At 39.5% G+C, this 19,888-nt stretch overlaps 2 protein-coding genes across 6 annotated transcripts in view, besides 6 other annotated features; one reads left to right on the forward strand and one right to left on the reverse strand.

Moving 5' to 3' along the window:
- On the reverse strand, window positions 1,254-6,635 carry C4orf46 (chromosome 4 open reading frame 46). Of its 3 annotated transcripts, none has more exons than NR_077235.2 (2): window positions 6,576-6,635; window positions 1,254-4,343 (listed from the first exon to the last, which is right to left on the reverse strand). NR_077235.2 is itself a non-coding variant. In NM_001008393.4 (2 exons), exons 1-2 carry the CDS (start codon window positions 6,378-6,380, stop codon window positions 4,192-4,194), a joined length of 342 nt encoding a protein of 113 aa, NP_001008394.1. In that variant the 5' UTR covers window positions 6,381-6,466; the 3' UTR covers window positions 1,254-4,191. The 3 variants fall into 3 exon arrangements, 1 of the variants encoding a protein (NP_001008394.1); NR_077234.2 differs by having other exon boundaries at window positions 1,254-4,347; NM_001008393.4 differs by lacking the exon at window positions 6,576-6,635 and adding an exon at window positions 6,195-6,466 and having other exon boundaries at window positions 1,254-4,347.
- Window positions 5,445-6,081: an enhancer, noted in NCBI's record as "H3K27ac hESC enhancer chr4:159592018-159592654 (GRCh37/hg19 assembly coordinates)". NCBI's record gives its function as "activates a minimal SCP1, AML or CMV promoter by ChIP-STARR-seq in naive and primed H9 embryonic stem cells {active_cell/tissue: H9 hESC(naive and primed)}" and the evidence as "EXISTENCE:reporter gene assay evidence [ECO:0000049][PMID:30033119]".
- Window positions 6,071-6,140: a silencer, noted in NCBI's record as "silent region_15772". NCBI's record gives its function as "represses an Ori minimal core promoter by ATAC-STARR-seq in GM12878 lymphoblastoid cells {active_cell/tissue: GM12878}" and the evidence as "EXISTENCE:reporter gene assay evidence [ECO:0000049][PMID:35858748]".
- Window positions 6,071-7,223: a biological region, named in NCBI's record as "H3K27ac hESC enhancers GRCh37_chr4:159592655-159593291 and GRCh37_chr4:159593295-159593796".
- Window positions 6,082-6,718: an enhancer, noted in NCBI's record as "H3K27ac hESC enhancer chr4:159592655-159593291 (GRCh37/hg19 assembly coordinates)". NCBI's record gives its function as "activates a minimal SCP1, AML or CMV promoter by ChIP-STARR-seq in naive H9 embryonic stem cells {active_cell/tissue: H9 hESC(naive)}" and the evidence as "EXISTENCE:reporter gene assay evidence [ECO:0000049][PMID:30033119]".
- Window positions 6,561-7,120: an enhancer, noted in NCBI's record as "active region_22085". NCBI's record gives its function as "activates an Ori minimal core promoter by ATAC-STARR-seq in GM12878 lymphoblastoid cells {active_cell/tissue: GM12878}" and the evidence as "EXISTENCE:reporter gene assay evidence [ECO:0000049][PMID:35858748]".
- Window positions 6,722-7,223: an enhancer, noted in NCBI's record as "H3K27ac hESC enhancer chr4:159593295-159593796 (GRCh37/hg19 assembly coordinates)". NCBI's record gives its function as "activates a minimal SCP1, AML or CMV promoter by ChIP-STARR-seq in naive H9 embryonic stem cells {active_cell/tissue: H9 hESC(naive)}" and the evidence as "EXISTENCE:reporter gene assay evidence [ECO:0000049][PMID:30033119]".
- Window positions 6,875-19,888, forward strand: part of ETFDH (electron transfer flavoprotein dehydrogenase) — a 37,328-nt gene continuing 24,314 nt past the window's right edge. The window contains exons 1-5 of one of the 3 annotated variants that reach the window (NM_004453.4): window positions 6,875-7,069; window positions 15,046-15,186; window positions 16,774-17,003; window positions 19,171-19,252; window positions 19,680-19,798. In NM_004453.4, coding sequence (NP_004444.2) covers window positions 7,036-7,069; window positions 15,046-15,186; window positions 16,774-17,003; window positions 19,171-19,252; window positions 19,680-19,798 — 606 coding nt within the window. In that variant the 5' untranslated portion in view covers window positions 6,875-7,035. Of the gene's footprint in view, window positions 7,070-15,045; window positions 15,187-16,686; window positions 17,004-19,170; window positions 19,253-19,679; window positions 19,799-19,888 lie in introns of those variants that run through there. The other 2 variants (NM_001281737.2, NM_001281738.1) reach the window with 2 other exon arrangements.

Raw genomic sequence — 19,888 nt, forward strand, 5'->3', positions numbered from 1 at the left:
TGGCAATCTGCTAGGGTCCCCTTCCATGCTGTGGAAGCTTTGTTGTTTCGCTCTTCACAGTAAATCTTGCTGCTGGTCACTCTTTGGGTCTGCGCCCCCTTTATGAGCTGTTAACACTCACCGCGAAGGTCTGCAGCTTCACTCCTGAAGCCAGTGAGACCACGAGCCCACCAGAAGGAACGGACAATTCCAGACGTGCCGCCTTTAAGAGCTGTAACACTCACCGTGAAGGTCTGCAGCTTCACTCCTGAAGTCAGCGAGACCACAAACCCACCAGAAGGAAGAAACTCCGGACACATCTGAACATCTGAATGAACAAACTCCGGACACACCATCTTTAAGAACTGTAACGCTCACTGCGAGGGTCCGCAGCTTCATTCTTGAAGTCAGCGAGACCAAGAACCACCAATTCCGGACATACAGGGATTACAAGCTTGAGCCACCGTGCCCCATCATAAAGCTCTTAATATAGTACCTGGCACATCTTTCAAACTCAGAATTTTTGAAACATAACACATTTTTTTTTATGTTAACAATTTCATCTTACTGACTTTAGTCTCGAGTCTAAAAAATTTACATAAGCTCGGCACAGTGGCTCATGCCTGTAATCCTAGCACTTTGAGAGGCCAAGGCAGAAGAATCACCTGAGGTCAGGGGTTCAAGACCAGCCTGGCCAACATGGTGAAACCCCATCTCTACTAAAAATACAAAAATCAGCCGGATGTGGTGGCGTGCACCTGTAATCCCAGCGAGGGAGGCTGAGGCAGGAGAATCGCTTGAACCGGGCAGTAGAGGTTGCAGTGAGCCAAGATCACACCACTGCACTCCAGCCTGGGCATCAGAGTAAGAATTTGTCTCAAAAAAAAATTTACATCATTCCTTTGGGGTTTTTGTAGGGCTGGTAATGGACCGTTTACTACGTTTAAAAAAAATTATTAAGTCTTTGAGGAAATATTTACGCTTTCAGCTCTTCCCCAACCTCTCCCATAAAGCAAACAGAAATGTAAAAAGGTCACTTTGTAAACTCTTAAAGTGCCCATAGAAAGCTCACTACCTGACACCAGCAGTTGTCCTAAGCTGACATAACTCAATAGAATTAGAAATCAGTAACATGTTTTTTCTTTTCTTACAGGGAAAGACAAATTGAGTTTTAGCATGGAGTTAAGCAAATAAATCTGTAGTGGAGGAAATACAATTTCTCCTCAAGCCTCATAAGTTCACAGTTGGGACAGATCCCTATAACAAAAGACAGATTAACAAGAGAAAAACAAGTAATTTTATTAATATATGCAACGTACATCACACAGGAGAAAACTCAATGAAAAGGTAAACACAAGTAGTGGCTTACAACTCTGGACTATATAGCATCTTCCACAAAGAATACATTTCAGAGAAGTGTGACAAGACGAAGGAAAGCAGTTTTAGGCTTCCAGAGGCAGAAACTGTGGAAGGTAAATATATGTTAAGAAACTAATAGTTTCTTGTTTGTAGATTCCTCTGGTGCTGTCTCAGCTGATTAGAGCCATCTTCTCATCTTGGTATCAGGAAAGCATCTTTATCAAAGAAGTTTGTATGGCTTGCTACAGGTAGGAAAGGACAGTTAAAATAGCCATTTCTGCAACTACTGTTAGTCAAGCACCTTTAGCTCGAAATAATCAGTATGCCAAATCGGCATATTTGGGGGTGGCATGTTCAAATTTCCTTCAGATAAAAAGAACAGAAAGGTCAGAATCTGGCCCTTACATAGTAACTGCATGACAGATGTTGCACTTGAAAAATTGATACTTGGAGGAACAGCTATAAATATGTAAAAATAATTAAAACAAGATTCCAAAATCATGCCATAAAAGAAAACAAATTTCAGTTGGACTAAACATCTAAATGTTAAAAACAAAAATTTTGTAACTTTTGGAAGGCTGAATAGGACTATTTTTATGACATTTCCTATACAAAAACCAGAAAAAGCAAATCATTATGAAAGATTGGTAAAATTACGTTTTTAAAAATTCAAGATTTCATAACCAAAATATGAAGACAAACCAGACTAAAAAAGATAATTGGAACATACATAACAGATCATTAGTATTCAAAATATGTAATATCTAAAAACTGACAAGTAAAAAAAACAACATAGAAAAATGAGCAAAAATGCCTGTAATCCCAGTGCTTTATAGGAGGAGGCGAGATGGGAGGATTGTTTGAGTCCAAGTTTAAGGTTACAGTGAGCTATGATCCTGCCACCACACTCCAGCCTGAGCAATAGAGTGAGATCTTGTCTCTTAAAAAAAAAAAAAAGAGTAAAAGATATGGCCTCAGAAATCACACACTGCATTTGCTCAATATCCTGGTAGTTACAAAAGTCAGCACTGTAAAATGCAGGAGAAGGCTATACTGGGGCATGAACACCAGGAGGCCAGGGATCACTGGGGCCATCTGGAAGCTGGCTACCACATATATAAAACAATATTTTGTAGCGCTTTTAAAAAATATATTTGTATTAAAAATATAAAAACACATGCTATATTATGCCCCCTCTAGTGGTTACCTCTGGGGACTCTGGGGAGGGAGGAACGGGACAGGATCAAACAGGTAACAAAGCAAACTTCAAATGTATCTAACATTTGCAATTACATGCATATGTGTGTCTGAAGAAAATATAGCCAAATGCTAACATTTATTACATCTGCATGGTAGAAATACACGGATTTTCTTGAAATCATTTACCTTTCCTATATCTTTGAAATATGTCAATAAAGTTTTAAGGTAATGAATCCAAACAAATGGAAATAAAATGTGCTTTTAATAATAATTTATTTTTACACATTTTAAAAATTGCAATTTTCAGGAGATGTAAGAAGAATATTTTTCTAATACTGAAATAAGCATATCTTTGGTATAGAAATCACACCCTATGTGTTTATCTTTAACTAAAAAAACTAATCAAGAACTATGACCTAATATGTTAAACAAAACTATTCTTTGCCCATCCATCTGTCCCCTCTCATAGCCCCATTGTGGGGCATTAGAATATAGTTCTGTACCTATCTCCATATCTACAAAGAATTAAGATGTTGTATCAAAAATGTCCAGAAGTTATATATGGTAGAGAATTAGTTGGCTTAATCGTTGACACACAACACAAAACACCAAAAGCAACATAAGATACAGGATGCAAAATAGAACACTGTCACTAAGATCAAATAATACAAAAAAAATCACATCATTTAAATTTGATGCATTGCAAACAAAGTAACTTCTTTAGAATTATTATGTACACAACTTGCAAAGCTCAAAAAGTAATAGCACAGAGCCATAAATCTGATAAGGCACTTTAAAGATAGCAATCAAACATATACAAATATCAAATACAAACACTGTTAAACTGCAAAAGCAGTAACCACAGAAATAAATAGGGAAAAAATATGCATTCTTTCTAAACAGTCTTTCCCTTTCTGAAGTAAAGTCTTTAAAAAAAAAATCAAACAAGTACAAAAAATATTTATCATATATTTTTAAAACCTATCATCAAAGTCCAAATCTCTGTAAAAAAAGAATGTTTTTCTTCAAGTCAAAAAAGTTCAGATTCATACATTTCCTAGAGAAACAATGACAGTCTTCATGCTAAATATAGGAAGAAAAAAAGCTTTCAATTATGTTTGTTAACTCTTTTATTCAACAAACATTTAGTGAATGTTGTGTGACCCTGTTTTAGGTGCTGGGGATATAGAATAAAGACACAATCATTAGCTGTAGACAACTTAGCCTAACGGAGCTGGATCCACCACTGGCAACCTTAAAGTTACCTCCCTTGGTCCTTAAGATGAAACGCAACTTCAAAGTCTGCCATGCTTAGCATCTTGTTGCAAAACAAATAATGGTCTACCTAGTTTGCTACTGGTAGCACTGTGGCTCTATTAATATTAACCGTCTATTGATGAAGTTAACTTTCATAAAGGATTCTATGAAAGTTCAGAGGCATAAAGTATTTAAGGACAAACAAGTACTGGTCCGCAACAAAAATAGCATCGGTATTCTGCTTTCACAAAAACCAAGAAAACCAAGAAAAATTTCATTCTGAGTATATACAGAACTGCTGGACAGAGGTCATCCTATATGTGTGGTACATGTACAAAATATGACATAAGAAGTATGAATTATTGCAGTCATTATTAAACAACGAAGTATGCCAAATCAGTCATCAGGTTTCAAAGAATCATAGCCTTCTTTCAAGAGGTCCCGCCACGTTTTAAGGAAACGTGCATTTTCTGTACATTTGAAGGCAAGTTCTTCCACTTGAGCTGATACTGCAGATGTGGCTTCAAGAAGTTTGGTTAATGAAAAGGCTGCCTAAAAAAAAAAAGTCAAACATAATTTTATTTTTAAAATTCTCATCTCATTTTATAAGCAGGCTGAAAATAGCTTAAGGCTTTGAATCCAATGCCCATGTTATTTTCTTTCAAAGTAATCAGTTTTCAAACTACAGCACTGGCTCTTTCACGGAACCTAAGAAATTCTTTAATATTGAGTAGACTTTGAAGAAACAGGTCTGCTAGAAAAATATCCATTATGTCTGAGATATGACAAATCAGTATAGTTGTTTTCTTTTTTTTTTTTTTTTTTTGAGACGGAGTTTCGCTCGTTTCCCAGGCTGGAGTGCAATGGCGCGATCTTGGTTCACTGCAACCTCCGCCTCCCGGGTTCAAGTGATTCTCCTGCCTCAGCCTCCTTAGTAGCTGGGATTACAGTCATGCGCCACCACGCACAGCTAATTTTGTATTTTTAGTAGAAACAGGGTTTCTCCATGTTGGTCACGCTGGTCTCGAACTCCTGACCTCAGGTGATCCGCCTGCCTCAGCCTCCCAAAGTGCTGGGATTACAGGCGTGAGCCACCGTGCTTGGCCCAGGATTGCTGTTTTCTATGAAAATACACTAGAGTCTCAGCTCAACAAGATGACTTGGACCCCTTGACACTAAGCGCCAGATATATCTGAGAGATTTCATCATAAATAATTCTTACTGCTATTTGGGTAACATGGGCATTGACCTGTGAACACTTTAAACAATGAAAATGTATAGATCAAAGAACAGAAACTCTGAGCTCTGACAAATAACATTAAAAAATCACACACAAATGCAGAAAACACTCAGCTCCTGGTGGAAAATTCACTTTTCAGCCAAACGTTTTCTTCACCAATGATATAAAATAAAACAGTGTTCCTCAATAACACATTAGCACTTCATTCTACATATTTACTTGCAATCAGTTTGTTCTGCAAAAATAAAAGCTGGTTAAGCACTCTAGTCATCCTTAAAAAAAAATACTTGCGGAGCAATGAGATAATCTAGTTCATCCCCTAGTTTCCAATCTGCAGGAAAGGTCAGGCCACAGAACTCTCCCAGGTTACACTCTACATACCTCATTCCACTTGACCCACTCAAGAGAACATAAAACTCCCCTTCCCTGTCTTCTCCCCTCCAGTGGTGTGTGAGTTACGGTTGGGAGGTGGGGTGCTAGTTTCTGGGGATTCGAGATTTAACAGAAACTATCCTAAGTATGCATTCTAGCAATCATACAAAGGGAGGAGTCCTGAACTAAACCGTCAAAGAAGCCAATCCACGTGACCTAAACCCTTCAAGCTGGGTCCAGCGCTAAGCAGGCCTGGGGCAGACAATGGCATTATCAGCTGTCCCTGGGCAGGTGGCCAACTAGAACAGCAGGCTCTAAGTCCCATGGAAAGAAATCACAGCCTGATCTCAAGTACCCACAGAAAGCCAGCAAACTCATGCAGTGAAAACTATTCTCCGAAACCCATGCAATGAAAACTATTCTCCGATGGGAAAGGAGGAGGCAGAGAGCCAGCAACAGGCAGCGCAGAGCTGCGTGGCTTCGGGTTACTGCGGATGATTGAAACCAGAAGGCGAGACAAAAAGAAACCAGTGAGGGGTGGGGCGGGTGGAAGGAAAACCCCTTAAGACTCCTCACCACTAAATCTAAAGGGGGAACCCTCAGAGAGGGGTGGCACTTTAGCTGCTGGCATCCCCCCCGCTTCCCGCCCGCACGCTCTGGGGCGCAGAAGGGCCGGTCGTCCCGGGTCATGGGGGTTGGGGGACCGATTCCCTAGCCTCGCGAGCCCCGCCGCCGCCGGTCTTCCCAGAGGCGCCGAGGGGGGACGCGGTCCCGACACCACACTCACGTCTCCGATCTGCAGCTCCACTTCCTCCAGCTGGTCCACCGTTGGGCCGCTGCTCCTGCTCGGAACTGGCCAGCCCAAACTCACTGGGCCGCCCGGGGAAGATGCTGCAGAGGCGTCTGAAGAGGAGGGAGAAGAGGGAGGCGGCGGGGGCGGCGAAGAAACCTGCAACTCCTCAGGGTCGGCCATGGGGAAGGGTTGGGACCGCGGAATCCGACCCGAGAAGCCGAACCGACACCAACTGTCTTTTAACCACTCGCGCCCAAAGCCGAAAGGCCCCGCCTCCTAACGCCAGAAATCCCGCCCAGTCTCCTCGTGGGTCTCAGCCCCGGACCACAAAGACGTTTCATTTTTCGGGACAGCCAATCATATGAGTCAATTCACCTTAGGCAACTCACGGCTCCTGCGCGAGCCTCCAATCGATCTCGAAGGGCACTCGTAGAGAAAACTACACCTCCCAGGAAGCCGTGTGCGTCGCCCCGCCTTCTACTGCCTTTCACTGCGCGTGCGTCGTGCTGTGGGATTCGCGGACCCCTCTGGCCGCGCTGTGGCTGTTTCACCGCTCCCCGGCTGGGACTTGGAGTCCCTTATCTTTCCCTGGTTTGGTACATGACCCGGAAGCCTCGGCTGGCCGTTGCGTCATCCATGGCGCCGGCGCAGAGCGAGAAGGAGGTGGGAACGCCGTGAAGCAAGAGCGGTCGGCAGAGCGGGGAGGCGAACTGCAGCAGAGTTCTTGCTTTCCGGCAGGTGATGGCGCCCCCCGCGGCCTAGAGGTCCAGCGCCCGCCGCGAGCAGCGGACAGTCCTCCTGTTGTGTCCGACCGAGAGTCCTGGTGACTTTGAACATGCTGGTGCCGCTAGCCAAGCTGTCCTGCCTGGGTGAGAGGAAACGGGCGGTGGGGATAAGTGGAGGAGTTAGGGCAAAAGGGACAAGGCCGGTCCTGGGGGCTGTAGGCACCTCTCGCCCCTTCTCTCATCAGCTTTCTCAGGCTATCTAGGGCAAAGGTCACGCGCTGTCAGCCTGTTGGGGGACCCTGGCTTCCTCCCTCTGGGGTTGCCCCAGTTGGTAGAATTAATATCTAGGCTAAAGGTCAAGGGCGGGGAAAACTTGTCAACACGCCCTCGGCATCACCACCACCTGTCAACACACACACACCTCGGTGGACTCCTGAACTGAGGCTTCCCAAATCCTGGTTCTAATCTTCAAACCTCTGTTGGAAATGGAAAAAAAAAAATCGTATTTGCCCAGTTTTTCTCCCTGGTCCTGACCTGACTTTCGTCTTCGGAGCCATTCTAGTTCAGTCTAAAGAAATTGAAGTCTGATCTGTCACATCATGGTTAACATTCATATGTTGACCAAGTCACCCAAGTGTATCTGGAGCCAGTTTTTCTGCGTTGTCTAAAATTAAGGGCTGGGCGTGGTGGCTCAAGCCTGTAATCCCAGCACTCTGGGAGGCTGAGGCGGATGGATCACCTGAGGTCAGGAGTTCAAGACCAGCCTGGCCAACATTGTGAAACCCCATCTCTACTAAAAATACAAAAATTAGCTGGGCGTTGTGGCCCACTCCTGTAATCCCAGCTACTCAGGAGGCTTAGGTAGGAGAATCACTTGAACCCGGAGGTGGAGGTTGCAGTGAGCTGAGATCGCACCACTGCACTCCAGCCTAGGTGAAAGAGCCAGACTCCGTCTCAAAAAAAAATTAAATTAAATTAACTCTAAGGGCTTTATCGTGTTATGGGTATTCTGTGAACCATCGTGACAGATGAAGTTGGATGGTCTTTTTAAAGTTTTACTTAAATTTTTGTTGTTGTCGTTAATTCAAACAGAAAAGTTCCCTAAAGGATCTCATATTCTGTCATAACTGGCTTAATTTTTTTAAATCTTTAGTTTACTTAAGTTTTGGTGATAGAATCATTAAGTCTAAATATTCCAAATTCAAGGATATTCTTATGAAATTTCATGAAAGTAGAATTTTGTTAAATTTGGCTTCCATATATTAAGAAATTAGAACTTTGTTTAAATTTCATGTCACCCATGCATTTTTTGCTGCACTTAATGTATGGATAAGATGGTGTTTGGAACGTTAAAGTAGTCAGATGCTATCTGCCTTAGAGCCTAATTTAGATGCAATCAGCCTTGGGCCCAGTGCTAACCAAATTCCACTACCATTTCTGTTTTCTTTGGATGGCAATTCATTGCCATTTTCGTAGCCTGCTGGCATGAAAGAGGTAGACACCAATGTGCCATCAGTGTGACTTTGATATGGTGATGCTATGAGTTCAGTGGACTTTGTGACTTCTCTTCTCAACCACGGAGACTGAATATTCCAATCTCTAAAGTGAGATATCAGATGTGTTTTCAGAAAAGGGGTAAAGGTTGTGACTTTTTTTTCCAATCCTTTGGAGAAATTCAGACTACACAGTTCCAAATATTCTCAAGAAAATCAGTAGCTATACAAGCAGTAGAAATAGTTTGTCATATGTCAGTCATCAGTTTTCAGAAGTAAATAACTTCTATGCACTAAACTACAATGCATTGAAAACTAAATATTTTAAATATTCGTTATAGTGTATTTGAACTCTTGAACTGAGTTCTAGAATATCTTTATGTATTTAATATACTTTTTTTTTTCCAAAATTGAGGATAGGTGAATAGTTATCTAAGGCTTAAAAAGTGTTGCCAATATAGTTTTTTTGTTTTTTGGGGTTTTTTTGACACAGTCTTGCTCTGTTGACCAGGCTGGAGGGCAGTGATGTAATCTCAGCTCACTGCAACCTCTGCCTCCCGGGTTCAAGTGATTCTCGTGCCTGAGCTTCCGTAGTACCTGGGATCACAGGTGCCCACCACCATGCCTAATTTTGTATTTTTAGTAGAGACGGGGTTTTGCCATGTTGGCCAGGCTGGTCTCAAACTCCTGGCCTCAAGTGATCCTCCTACCTCAGCCTCCCAAAGTGCTGGGATTATAGGCATGAGCCACCATGCCTGGCCCCAGTGCTATAGTTTTTAGTATGCGTAAGTAAGTTCATTTCTTTGCCACTTTAAAAAAAATGACCAAACACAGATTTTTATTGCCTTTTCACAGAAAATTACTCTGAAAAGCATTAATCTTTTATAGTACCATGTGTCAAGGACTATCTAATATTTAGTCAACAAATATGTATACCTAACATTAGGTTTTCACGTACAACAAGGTCAGTGCTTTTGGAGCATGCTATCTGCTGGAGAATACAGACAACTAAAGACATTTATATTTTTACCCTTTTTTGGTCACATAAATGGTTTAAATTTTTAGTCTAATGATATTGTAACTTTTTAGATTTTTATCATTCTTAGAAAATAACTTTGAAAAATCCTAGATTCTAAAAAAAAAATTACCTGTTTTCTTCATAATATTTTTGTGTGTGGCTGTAAATGCTCTTTTTTATAACAGCTTTAATAAACTTTAATAAGATATGTCACAAATCATACAATATATACTATTTAAAATGGACAATTCAATGGTTTTTAGTATAGTCAGAGTTGTGAAACCATCACTGCAGTCTATTTTAGAACATTTTCATCACCCCAAAAAGAAACTATTCACTCCCAAGCCCCTTCCAGCCTTAGACAACAGTTAATCTACTTTCTGTCTCTATAAACTAGCCTATTCTGAATATTTCCTGTACATGGAAGCATATACTATGTTGTCTTTTTGTGACTGGCTTCTTTCACATAGCATATTGTTTTCAAAGTTCTATGTGGTAGCATATATCAGTATTCAATTTCTTCTTATTGCTAAATATTTCATTATTTGGATATATCACTTCTTACCATTTATTGATCAACATTTGGGTTGTTTCTACTTTTTGGCTGTTATAAATAATTCAGCTGTTGGTCAGGTGTGGTGGCTTACACCTGGAATCCCAGCGTTTTGGGAGGCTGAGACGGGCATATTGCTCGAGCCCAGGATTTCGAGATCAGCTTACACAACCCAGTGAGACTGCTTGTCTACAAAAAAATAGAAACAATTATCCGGGCATGGTGGCATGCACCTGTAGCCCTAGCTACTCAGGAGGCTGAGGTGGGAGGATCACTTAAGCCTGGAAAGTCAAGGCTTCAGTGAGCCATGATCACATCACTGCATTCCACCCTTGGTGACAGAGTGAGACCCTGTCTCAAAAAAAAAAAAAAAAAGTCAGCTAGGAACATTCATGTGCAAGTTTTTGTGTAGAAGTATGTTTTCATTATCTTAGGGATAGACTTAGGAATGGGTCACATGAAAACTCTATGTTTAACCTTTTGAGGAACTGCCAGACTGTTTTTCAAAGAGACTGCATCATTTTTGCATTCCCCCAGGAGTGTATGAAGGTTCCAATTTTTCCACATCCTTGCTAACTCTTGTTATTGAAACCGCCCAACAGGTTCTCCTTGCCCACTACCCAGACAGAGCCAATTTATCAAAACAGGAGAATTAGAATAGAGAAAGAGTTTAATTCACACAGAGGCGGCTGTACAGGAGACCATAGTTTTATTACTCAAATCAGTCTCCCCGAAAACTTGGAGACTGGGGATTTTAAGGATAATTTGATGAGTAGGGGGGTCAGAAAGTGGGGAGTGCCAATTGGTCAGGTCAGAGGTGAAATCACAGGGAGATGAGTTTGTCGTCTTGCACTGAGTCAGTTCCAGGGTGGGAGCCAAACGACCAGATGAGCTAGTTCATCGATCTGGGTGGTGCCAGCTGATCCATCAAGTGCAGGATCTGCAAAATATCTCAAGTAGTGATCCTAGATTTTACAATAGTGATGTTATCCCCAGGAGCAATTTGGGAAGGTTCAGAATCTTGCCACCTCCAGCTGCATGACTCTTAAACCATAATTTCTAATCTTGTAGCTAATTTGTTAGTCCTGCAAAGACAGTCTGGTCCCCAGGAAGGAAGGGGGTTTGTTCTGGGAAAGGGCTGTGATTGTCTTTGTTTCAAAATTAAACTATAAACTCCCAAAGTTAGTTCAGCCTACTCCCAGGAATGAACAAGGACTACTTGGAGGTTAGAAGCAAGATGGAGTCAGTTAGGTCAGATCTCTTTCACTGTAATAATTTTCTCAGTTATAATTTTTGCAAAGGTGGTTTTATTATTGCTTGACTTCTCGACTATAGCCATGCTAGTGGATGTAATAGTACCTCATGTGGCTTTGGTTTGCATTTCCCTGATGGCTAATGCTGCTGAGCATCTTTTCATGTACTTATTGGCCGTTTGTATATCATCTTTGAAGAAGTGTCTATCCAGATCCTTTGCCCACTTTTTAATTGGATTATTTGTCTTTTGTTACTAGATATAAGAGTTCTTTCTGTATTCTAAATATAAGTCCATTATCGGATATATGATTTGAAAATATTTTCTCCCATTCCACGGGCTATCTTTTCACTTTCTTGATGGTATCCTTTGATGCACAAAAGGTTTTAATTTTGATGAAGTGCAGTTTAACTGTATTTTTTGTCGTTGCTTGTGTTTTTGGTTGTTCTATCAAAGAAACCATTGCCTAAACCCAAGTGTTGATGAAAAAGCCAAACTCCATAAACTATTTGAAGAGATTAATTCTGAGCCAAATGTGAGGACCATGACCCACGATACAGCCTCAGGAGGTCCTGAGAACATGTATCCAAGGTGGCTGGGTTACAGCTTGATTTTATACATTTTAGGGAGAAAAGTTACAGGCAAAGACATTAATCAATACGTGTAAGGTTTACATTGGCTTGGCCTGGAAAGGCAGGACATCTCAAAAGTTCACGAATTTGTGTTGGGCCACATTTAAAGGCATCCTGGGCAACATGTGGCCCATAGGCTGCAGGTTGGACAAGCTTGCCTTAAAAGGTATCAGACTCTTAGTTAAATCTCTCCTAGATCAGGAAAAGGCCTAGAAAGGGAAGAGAATTCTCCACAGAATGTAAATGTTCCTCACAAGAGACAGCTTTGCAGGGCCAATCCAAAAATTATGTCCAAGAAATATATTTTGGGGTACAATACATTGATTTCCTCTAGGGCCTGTTGTCATGTGATGTTATACCAGAGTCAGGTTGGAGTTGGTATCTTATTGCTACAAAGAGTCTGTTCTGTCAGTCTTAGGATTTCAATATTAATGTTAATGCTGGTCAGTTATGTCTAAACTCCAAAAGGGAGAGGGTATAATGAGGCATGTCTGACCCTCTACTTACCATCATGGCATGAACTACTTTTTTGGGTTTCTTTGGAATCCCCCTGGCCAAGAAGAGAGTCCATTCAGTGGTTGGGGGCCTTAGAATTTTGTTTTTGGTTTACACAAGGTCACAAAGATTTACACTCATGTCTTCAAAGAGTTTTATGGTTTTAGCAAATATAGGGTTTGATCTTTCTTGAGTTAACTTTTTTTATCACCATAATCTTTTTAACTTTTTATCTTGAAATAGTTTTAGATTTACAGATAAGTTGCAAAAATAGTACTGAGAGTTCCCATATGCCCTTTGCGGAGCTTCATGTCTTATGTAACCATAGTATAATTATCAAAACTAAGAAATTAACATTGATGAAATAAAGTTAATTAAACTACAGATTTTATTCAGATCTTCTTTTTCTGTTCCAGGATCCAGTCCAGGGCACAAGGTTGCCTTTAGTTGGCAGGTCTCCATAGTCTACTTCAATTTGACAGTTCCTCTGTCTTTTCTTGTGTCCCAAGACCTTTACAGTTTTGATATGTACTGGTCGAGCATTTTGTAGAATGTCCCTCAATCTGAGTTTGTCTGATCATTTCTCATGATTAGACTGAGGTTAAAGATTTTTGGGGATAAATACCACAGAGATAAAGAACCCTTTTCACCACATCATATCAGGGATACATGGTATCAATATGTCTTATTGCTGGTAACATTAAACTTGATCACTTGCTTAAAGTGATATCTGCCATATTTCTCTACTGTAAAGTTAACATTTTTCACTTTCCATTCTCTACTTGTTAGAAGCTACTCAATAAGTTCATCCCACATCACTCAAAGGGAGGAGAGAATTGAAGAATTTATGGATATATCACCATCTTTTTTTTTTTTTTTTGAGACAAGGTGCTTGTTGCCCAGGTTGGAGTACAGTGACGTGGTCCTAGCTCACTGTAGCCTCGAATTACTGGGCTCTAGTGATCATCGTACCTCAGCCTCCTGAGTAGGTGGGACTGCAGGTGCATACCACCACACCTAGCTAATTTTTTTACTTTTTATTTTTTATTTCTGTAGAGAAGAGGTCTTGCTATATTGCCTAGGAGGATCTTGAACTCCTGGCCTCATGCAGTCCTCCCGCCTTAGCTGAGATTTACAGTCATGAGCCACTGTGCCCAGCCAACCATAGTCTTCTATACTTTGAACCTACCCTAATAAAATCTTCGATCAAATATAATTCATTTTGACCTAGGGAGCAGAGTATACTTTTTTTCTGAATGGCTTTCTAGCTATCTCTGCACCATTTAATGAGTAACCATTTCTTCTCCCTAATTTGAAATGGTATCTTTATTATATACCATATACCTATGTGTATTCTATTTCTGAACTCTTTATTCTTTTTTTAATTATTCTATCCCTTCTCCTATAACAGACTTCTAATGAATATAGCTTCAAATATAAGTTTCTATATCTGTCAAGAGTGGTTTCATGGGAGGATTCTTTGTCTTTTTTTAATGATAGGGACGATTATCAAGATGAACAGAGCCTGAGAAGGGAGTCAAAATTGAAGCTCAGAAGGGATGGTATCAGATGGAGGAATGTCTCTAGACAACGGGAGAGATAAGCCTTCTCATCCAGCTAGAAAGATTAACCCCAGTGGAGAAGAATATAGTCTGTTTCACTATATTCATTGAGTACAATCAACGGGAGAAAAGACATCTCTTCTGCTATAAACTGAGATAATGAACAAAGTATGGGCACAAATACAGATTATATTAGAAGTTACTGCCAAGGAGTTGAGAAAATTCCCATCTAATTGCTTCTGTCTTTATGAGGTTTGATGCTAGGGTACCTGCCCTGGATAAAGGAAAGAAGAGGTGGAGTTGAAGGTTTGAGGACAACAGAGAAGGTTCAGTGAACATTTTTGCAGATAAATCTTTGCATATTTCTGTTCATTTCCATAAAATACTTTTTGCTGACTCAAAAATGTATACATTTTTAAGGATATCAGAAGATACTGTGGCCAGGTGCAGTGGCTCACGCCTATGATCCCAGCAATTTTAGAGGCTGAGGCAGGCAGATCACTTGAGGCCAGGAGTTCGAGACCAGCCTGGCCAACATGGCAAAACCGCATCTCTACTAAAAAAAAAAAACAAAAATCCAAAAATTAGCTGGGTGTGGTGGTGCACACCTGTAGTCCCAGATACTCTGGAGGCTGAGGCGTGAGAATCGCTTGAAACCAGGAGGCAGAGGTTGTGGTGAGCTGAGATTGCACCACTGCACTGCAGCCTGGGTGACAGAGTGAGACTCTGTCTCAAAAAAAAAAAAAAAAAGAAGAAGAAAAAGAAGAAGATACTGCCTTAAGAACCTGACCATAAAACAAAGTTTGTGCTTAAAGCCATTGACCTAACACGGTGATTATACTACTCCATATTACTCTCAAAGTGTTCAGCTTTCATGACTAATCCATAGTTAAGCCTGACATGAGCTAAATTGAATAAATTTGCTTATTAGTTTTAAAATATTTAAGATTTGAAAACATTGCTTTATGAGAAAAAGCTATTCAAAGTGTTCACCTAGGAAAGATTATAGTATATTTCACTATACTCATTGAGTATAGTCATTCACTTATATTTTTTCAGTCTACTGAGGAAAACTAATTTTAAGGAAGATAATAATTTTCGTAATTTTTGTGCAGCATATCAGTGCTTTCATGCCTTAAAAATTAAGAAAAATTATCTACCTCTATGTGCTACAAGATGGTCTTCAACTTCTACTGTGCCTCGAATTACTACCCATTATACTATTTATCCCCGGGATAAGGACAAGAGATGGGAAGGTAAGTAATAATTTGTGTACAATTCCTGAGACTTTTCTGGATACTTTGTTTTCATTTTGTGGAGGAGAGTATTAATATTTTTCATAATTTAAAAACATCTAATAATATTTTGTGGCTTTACCAAGTCACATGCTGCATAATGACCCTTCAGTCAACAACACGACAATTATAATGGTAATCCCTTGACATTATAATGGAGCTGAAAATTCCTATCACCTAGTGACATCTTTTAGAACATAGCTTCCAGACCATCGTAGCTCAACACATTACTCAATTATTTGTGGTGAGTCTGATGTAAACAAACATACTCTACTGCCAGTTCTTTAAAAGTCTACCATATACAATTATGTACAGTACATGATACTTGATAATAAACGACTGTTACTGGTTTATGTATTTACTGTATTATACTTTTATCATTATTTTAGAGTGTACTCTTACTTAATTTTTTTAAAAAGTTAACTGTAAAACAGACACAGGCAGGTCCTTCAGGAGGTATTCTGGAAGAAGCTACCATTTGCATAGGAGATGACAGCTCCATGCGTGTTATTGTCTTTGATGACCTTCCAGTGGGAGAAAATGTGGAGGTGAAAGATATTGATGATCCTGACCCTGTGTAGGCCTAACTAATGTGTGTGTTTGTGTCTTAATTTTTAATAAAAGAGTTTAAAAGGTAAAAGGAAAAAAAATTTTAAAAAGAAAGAAACTTATAGAAAAATGATATAAAAACCATTTTTTGTACAGCTGTACAATGTGTTTGTGTTTTAGCTAAGTGTTATTACAAGAGAGTCAAAAAGTTTAAAACATTTAAAAGCTTATAAAATAAAAACATTACTGTAAGCTAAGTTTAATTTACTGACGAAAAAATTTTTTTATAAATTGCGTGTAACCTAAGCATACAGTGTTTATGAAGTCTATAGTAGTGTAATGTCCTTGTCCTTCACATTCTCACTGCTCACTCAGTCACTCACCAAGAACAGCTTCCAGTCCTGTAAGTTCTATTCATGGTAAGTACCCTGTACAGATATACCATTTTTAAATATTTTATACTGTATTTTTGCTGTACTTTTTCTGTGTTTAGATGTGTTTAGTTACATACATACTATTATAGTTGCCTACAGTGTTCAGTATAGTCAGTCACATGCTATATAGCTTTGTAGCCTAGGAGCAATAGCCTATACCCTGTTGCCTAGGTGTATCATAGGCTGTTCAATTAGTTTGTGTAAGTATACTCTATGATGTTTGCAAAAGGGCAAAATTGCCTAACGATGCATTTCTCAGAAAGCATTTCTGTCATTAAGTGACTTGTGACTGTATTTTACACAAGTAAATATTTGCTAAATGTATAATAATAAATCTCAAAGCCAAGAATTAGTTTATGGAAACTGAAATAAAGTATGTACTGGAACAGAACCTAAGAATATAATCATACTAATACAGTAATATGCTTAATATAATTATTGTGCAAAACACAGGGAGAATTTCCATAAATAATACTCTAAAGCACAGTGGATATTTTTTAACTGTCATGTGATTTATCATGTGATTATTGGGTTATATTAATCCCAGAATTTTTATTTCTCCCAGGAGTGAACATGGAAAGGTTTGCAGAAGAAGCAGATGTTGTAATAGTTGGTGCAGGCCCTGCAGGGCTCTCTGCAGCTGTTCGTCTAAAACAGTTGGCTGTGGCACATGAAAAGGACATCCGTGTGTGTCTAGTGGAGAAAGCTGCCCAGATAGGAGCTCATACTCTCTCAGGGGCTTGCCTTGATCCAGGTGCTTTTAAAGAACTCTTCCCAGACTGGAAAGAGAAGGGGGTATGAAAAATTGTTTTTTATACAAAGTCTAATCTTTTGTAATTGTATTTCAGTAATTGTTCCCAAATTACTGGAATATAGGAAACCCTTTTCATGTAACTCTATCTTTTTTTTTTTTCTTTTTTTGAGATGGAGTTTCACTCTTGTTGCCCAGGCTGGAGTGCAATGGCGCGATCTTGGCTCACTGCAACCTCCACCTCCCAGGTTCAAGTGATTCTCCTGCCTCAGTCTCCCTAGTAGCTGGGTTTACAAGCACCTGCCAACACTCCCAGCTAATTTTTTGTATTTTTAGTAGAGACAGGGTTTCACTGTATTGGCCAGACTGGTCTCGAACTCCTGACCTCAGGCGATCCACCCACCTTGGCCTCCCAAAGCACTGGGATTACAGGCATGAGCCACCACGCCCAGCCCATGTAACTCTAAGGGAATAATTATATACTTTTTAAATTAAAAAAAAATTTATATCAGAATTGTAATTTATGATATTAACAAATATTTTTGTGTAATGCTTTCTACATGTATTTATGTAATGGGTATATGAGAAGATAACTTGAGAAGACCTTTGAATATTTCTTGGGAGGCATTTTGTATTTTGAGGGTATTTTTAAACTTGTTCTTTAAGTCTTTGTATGATTGTTCTTAATAAAGTAATAATTCCTGGGACAATGCAATATCTAAAGCCAAAGAGGATAACCTAATTTTCTGAAGAAACATATTAATATGGCTTCCCATAACCTAAGCAGAAAAACCACAGGTGTGATATACAGAGGACCAAGTCCAAGTTTTATTGTCTTAAATAAAATTTGTATGAATTTGGTTAAAATCTTAGATTGTCAATTTTTTCTTCTCTAAGATGGGTTATATTATACCTGTCCTACCTCCTAGATTAGATTATTCAGTGGTTGTGAATATACTTGCAAAGATCAAAAATTATATAAATATCTGTATTTTTTCCATATGGAATAAATTGAATTCCAAAAATTTCGTCTGTCTCTCCTTTCTGAAATATCAAGCTCCCTTAAACTAGAAATACTTTAATTAGGCCCAGTTGAATTTATCCTTTTGATATTATATCAGAAATGGATATTATTGAATTAACACTGACATAATATCAATTCTAATAGAAAATGTTTTTCATGTTAAAGCCCTTTATTGCTTTGGCACCTTTTTTTTGAGACAGGGTCTCACTCTGTCACCCAGGCTGGAGTACAGTGGCACAATCATGGCTCTCTGCAGCCTCAACCTCCGGGGCTCAAGTAATCCTCCCACCTCAGCCCCCTTAGTAGCTGGGATTACAGGCGTGCACCACCACACCCAGCTAATTTTTGTATTTTTTTAGTACAGACAGGATTTTTGCCATGTGGGCTCAAAACCACTAGCTTCGGCCTCCCAAATTGCTGGGACTACAGGCCTGTGAGCCACCACACAGACTTTGGTGCCTTTTAATATGTATAGCCAGCAGGTACAGTGTAACAACATGTTAATTCTCTTTATCCAAGAGGAAAATAAAACTTCTCTTACCTTTCACCAACCAGGAAGTTTCAACTTAAGAGCCAAGCAACTTGGCTAACCTCTCCACAGAGACAAAAAGACATGAGGGTCACGTTTCAAAGGTGTTTCCAAGACTCCCAAGAAATATATTCCTGGGATGCAAAACTGGCAAGAGGTTTATTTAGATTTTTAAAAGATTCCCAGCTGGCCGGGCGTGTAATCCCAACACTTTGGGAGGCCAAGGCGGATGGATGACTTGAGGTCAGGAGTTCGAGACCAGCCTGGCCAACATGGTAAAACCCCCTCTCTACTAAAAATACAAAAATTAGCCCAGCATGGTGGCAGGTGCCTATAAGCCCAGCCACTTGGGAGGCTGAGGCAGGAGAAACACTTGAACCCAGGAGGCAGAGGCTACAGTGAGCTGAGATTGCACCACTGCACTCCAGCCTGGGTGACAGAAAGAGACACTGTCTCAAAAAAAAAAAAAAAAAAGATTTCTGTACATCTCAGACAGAGAAAGGATTCACAGTGACAAGTTTTATAAAGGAAATGCCAAAAGAAAATTAGGGGGGAGTTCTTTTTTTGTCATCAGAGTACATTTTATAGTTTTTTTGTATTTATATTTACACTTGCAAATATAAACTAAAAACATTTCTTTTTCTTCTTTTATTTCTAGGCTCCACTTAACACTCCTGTAACAGAAGACAGATTTGGAATTTTAACAGAGAAATACAGAATTCCTGTGCCAATTCTTCCAGGTAAGGTATAGTGAATATGCATAGAACTATGGAATTCCACAGCTGGAAGGAACTACATTTCATCTGACGAAATTTCCTCCTTTTACAGACAAGAACTGAGACCCAGATATTTGAAGGACTTACTCAAAGCTATACAGCTAGCTGGTGGGAAAGCAGGACTAGAACTCAGTTCTTTTGTCTTCCAGTCTAGAAGAATTGAGATAGCCTTGTAAGCCAAGCAGGAATTTCTAACTTAGTGCTTTAATGTTGTTTGTAATGTAATAAATTAGAACTCTAGACCAAAATTGTAGAAAATAAGTTGAAAGTGTGACCATCAATGTAGCACTTATGTAGAAATACATATTGATTCGAAATTTTAAAGTATTTATGTTTTTGTAATGTCTTATCAATAAAAAGTCAGATTTATAAATTAAGCATATATTTATAGGGCTTCCAATGAATAATCATGGCAATTACATTGTACGCTTGGGACATTTAGTGAGCTGGATGGGCGAACAAGCAGAAGCCCTTGGTGTTGAAGTATACCCTGGTTATGCAGCTGCTGAGGTTTGTATAGTTTTGTTTTGTTTTAATATTTATAGGAACTCTCTTTTTTTAATAAGTGGAGAATTTTATAAAGTTGAAGAAATAAATATT

This window comes from Homo sapiens, chromosome 4, assembly GCF_000001405.40.
Source record: "Homo sapiens chromosome 4, GRCh38.p14 Primary Assembly".
NCBI lineage: Eukaryota > Metazoa > Chordata > Mammalia > Primates > Hominidae > Homo > Homo sapiens.

Excerpts from the sequence above, each read along its gene's own strand:
- C4orf46 (NM_001008393.4), bottom strand. The coding sequence starts at position 6,380 with ATGGCCGACCCTGAGGAGTTGCAGGTTTCTTCGCCGCCCCCGCCGCCT. Across the intron at positions 4,348-6,194 it reads TGGAGCTGCAGATCGGAGAC|GCAGCCTTTTCATTAACCAA; the intron begins GTGAGTGTGGTG and ends TTTTTTTTTTAG.